Genomic DNA, 3,493 nt, shown 5'->3' with positions numbered 1-3,493 from the left:
ATATATAGTTGCTAGGACTTGCATATGTAATTATGTTAAGGATCTTGGTATAGGTATATCATTCTGAATTATCAGGATGGGTCCTAAATGGAATCACTGTCCTTATAAGATGAAGGCAGAGGGAGATTTGAAGACTGAAGAGGAAAAATCCATATATGTAACATAGTTTGGGAGCACGAGCAAAGGAATGAAGACAGCTTCCCGAAACTGAAAAAGTCAAGGAAACAGATTCTCTTTTAGACCCTCCAGAGCTAGCTCTATGGTGCTGAAAACCTGATTTCAATGAGGTAAACCTTATCATAAACTTCTGGCATCTAGATCCACAAGAGAATAAATTGGTGGTGTTTTAAGCCAAATAATTCCTGATAATTTGTTATAGCAGTTATAGGAAACCGATGCAATGATATTTACAGAGGTCTACATCATACCATTATACAGTTCCATGTATATGGAATATTTATAAATAAGTATATATTAATAAAAAGTAATAAAATATAGATGACTATGTTTTGCTGATTGAAGAATGAGAAAACCCCAAAGAGGTATAAAATTAATCTATGCAACTACTGGATAAGTTTATCTGCACAAAAATTAAGTATTTATATATTTTTAAAAGCAATAAAATTAAATACAAACAAAGCCAAAACTGCAACAAATATTGATACTCTATTTTATAAGTGAGAACATGCAGTATTTGCTTTTCTGTTTCTGCATTATTTTGCTAAGGATAATGACCTTCGAGTACATCCACGTTGCTGCAAAGGACATAATCTTATTCTTTTTTTATGACCACATAGTATTTCATGGAGTATGTATGCCACATTTTCTTCATCCCACCTATATAGGGCCATTTAGGTTGATTCTATATCTTTGCTAATCCGAATAGTGCTGCAATGAACATACACGTTCATGTGTCTTTATGACAGAATGATTTATATTCCTTTGGGTTTATATGCAGTAATGAGATTCCTGAGTCAAATGGTATTTCTCCTTGTTGGTGGGAGTGTAAAGTAGTTCAACCATTGTGGAAGACAGTGTGGTGATTCCTTAAAACCTAGAGGCAGGCCGGGCGTGGTGGCTCACGCCTGTAATCCCAGCACTTTGGGAGGCCGAGGCGGGCAGATCACCTGAGGTCGGGAGTTCAAGGCCAGTCTGACCAACATGGAGAAACCCCGTCTCTACTAAAAATACATTAGCCAGGCTTGGTGGCACATGCCTGTAATCTCAGCTACTCGGGAGCCTGAGGCAGGAGAATCACTTGAACCCAGTAGGCGGAGGTTGCGGTGAGCCAAGATCATGCCACTGCACTCCAGCCTGGGCACCAAGAGTGAAACTCTGTTCCCCCCCCCCCCAAAAAACAAAACAAAACAAAACAAAACAAACACCTAGAGGCAGGCCGGGCGCTGTGGCTCACGCCTGTAATCTCAGCACTTTGGGAGGCGGAGGCGGGCGGATCACGAGGTCAGGAGATGAAGACCATCCTGGCTAACACTGTGAAACCCCATCTCTACTAAAAATACAAGAACAAAATTAGCCGGGCGTGGTGGCAGGCGCCTGTAGTCCCAGCTACTCGGGAGGCTGAGGCAGGAGAATGGCGTGAACCCAGGAGGTGAAGCTTGCAGTGAACCGAGATTGTGCCACTGCACTCCAGCCTGGGCAACAGAGCAAGACTCCGTCTCAAAACAAAACAAAACAAAAACAACAACAACTAAAAAAAAAAAAAAAACTAGAGGCAGAAATAAATGTACACTAGAGATTCTGGTACTTTGTGTCTTTGTTCTCATTAGTTTCAAAGAACACCTTTATTTCTGCCTTCATTTCGTTATTGAACCAGTAGTCATTCAGGAGCAGGTTGTTCAGTTTCCTTGTAGTTGTGTGGTTTTGAGTGAGTTTCTTAATCCCAAGTTCTAATTTTATTCCCTTGTGGCCCGAGAGACTGTTTGTTATGATTTCTGTTCTTTTCTTTTGCATTTGCATTTGCTCCTAATTAGTAATGTTGAGCATTTTTTGTGCTTGGTGGCCATGTGCATGCCTTCTTTTGAGAATACTCTATTTATATCCTTTGCCCATTTTTTAATAAGGTTGTTTGTGCTTTGCACATTGATTTGTTCCTTATAGATTCTGGATATTAGACCTTTGTCAGATCATAGTTTGCAAATAATTTCTCTTCTTATGTATGTTGTTTACTCTGTTGATAGTTTCTTTTGCTATGCAAAACTCTTTAGTCTAATTAGGTCCCACGTGTCTATTTTTGTTTTTATTGCAATTGCTTTTGAAGTCTTTGTCATGAAATCTTTGCCAACATTTATAGCCAGAATGCTATTTCCTTGGGTTTTTGCTAAGGTTTTCATAGTTTTATGTCTTATATTGAAAACTTAAATGCACTTGGAGTTAATATTTCACATGGTGAGTGTAAGGGTTCCAGTTTCAATCTTCTGAATATGGCTGACCAGTTATTCCAGCATGATTTATTAATATAGGGATTTATTTCTCCATTGCTTGTTATTTTTTACTGTGTCAGAAAACAGATGACTATGGGTGTAACACATTATTTCTGGTCCTCTAACCTGTTTCATTTGTCTATATGTCTGTGTTTATAGCAGTACCATGCGTTTTGGTTATGGTAGCCTTGTGGTATAGTTTGAATTAGAGTAGTGTAATGGCTCTGGCTTTGTTCTTTTTGCTTATGATTGCTTTGGCTATTAGGCTCTTTTGGTGTTCCATATGCTTTAGAATCATTTTCTCTAATTCTTTGAAAAATAATGTTGGTAGTTTGATAGGAATAGCATTGAATCTGTAAGTTGCTTTGAGCAGTATGGCTTTTTCAACAATATTGTTGATTTCTATCCATGAGCATGGAATGTTTTCCTATTTGTTTGTATCATCTTTGATTGCTTTGTTTTGCAATTCTCATTGAAGAGATCTTTCACCTCCTGGTTAGTTGTCTTTCTAGATATATTATTTATTTGTGGCTATTGTGAAAGGGATTGTGTTCTTGATTTAAATCTCATCTTGGACATTTTAGATATGTAGAAATGCTATTGATTTTTGTACATTGACTTTGTATCCTGAAACTTTATTGAAGTTGTTTATCAGTTCTAGAAAACTTTGAGCAGAGACTATGGGATTTTCTAGCTATAGAACTATAGAATTATGTCATATGCAAAGAGAGATAGTCTGACTTTCTGTCCTCATATTTGGATGCTTTTTAATTTTTTTCCCTTGCTTAATTGCTCTGGGTAGGACTTCCAGTACTATGTTGAATAGAAATGATGACTGTAGGGATGCTTACCTTGTTCTGGTTCTTGGGGAGAATGAATACAGCTTTTGCCACTTCATTATGACGTTGGCTGTGGTTTTGTCATAGATGGCTCTTATTAATTTGAGGTAGGTTCCTTTGATGCCTAGTTTGTTGAGGATTTTTAACACGAAGATATATTGACTTTTATCAAAAGCCTTTTCTGAGTCTATTGAAATGATCATGTGGTTTCTG

The sequence above is a fragment of the Homo sapiens genome, chromosome 1 (assembly GCF_000001405.40).
Source record: "Homo sapiens chromosome 1, GRCh38.p14 Primary Assembly".
Lineage (NCBI taxonomy): Eukaryota > Metazoa > Chordata > Mammalia > Primates > Hominidae > Homo > Homo sapiens.
This window is presented reverse-complemented; position numbering follows the sequence as displayed.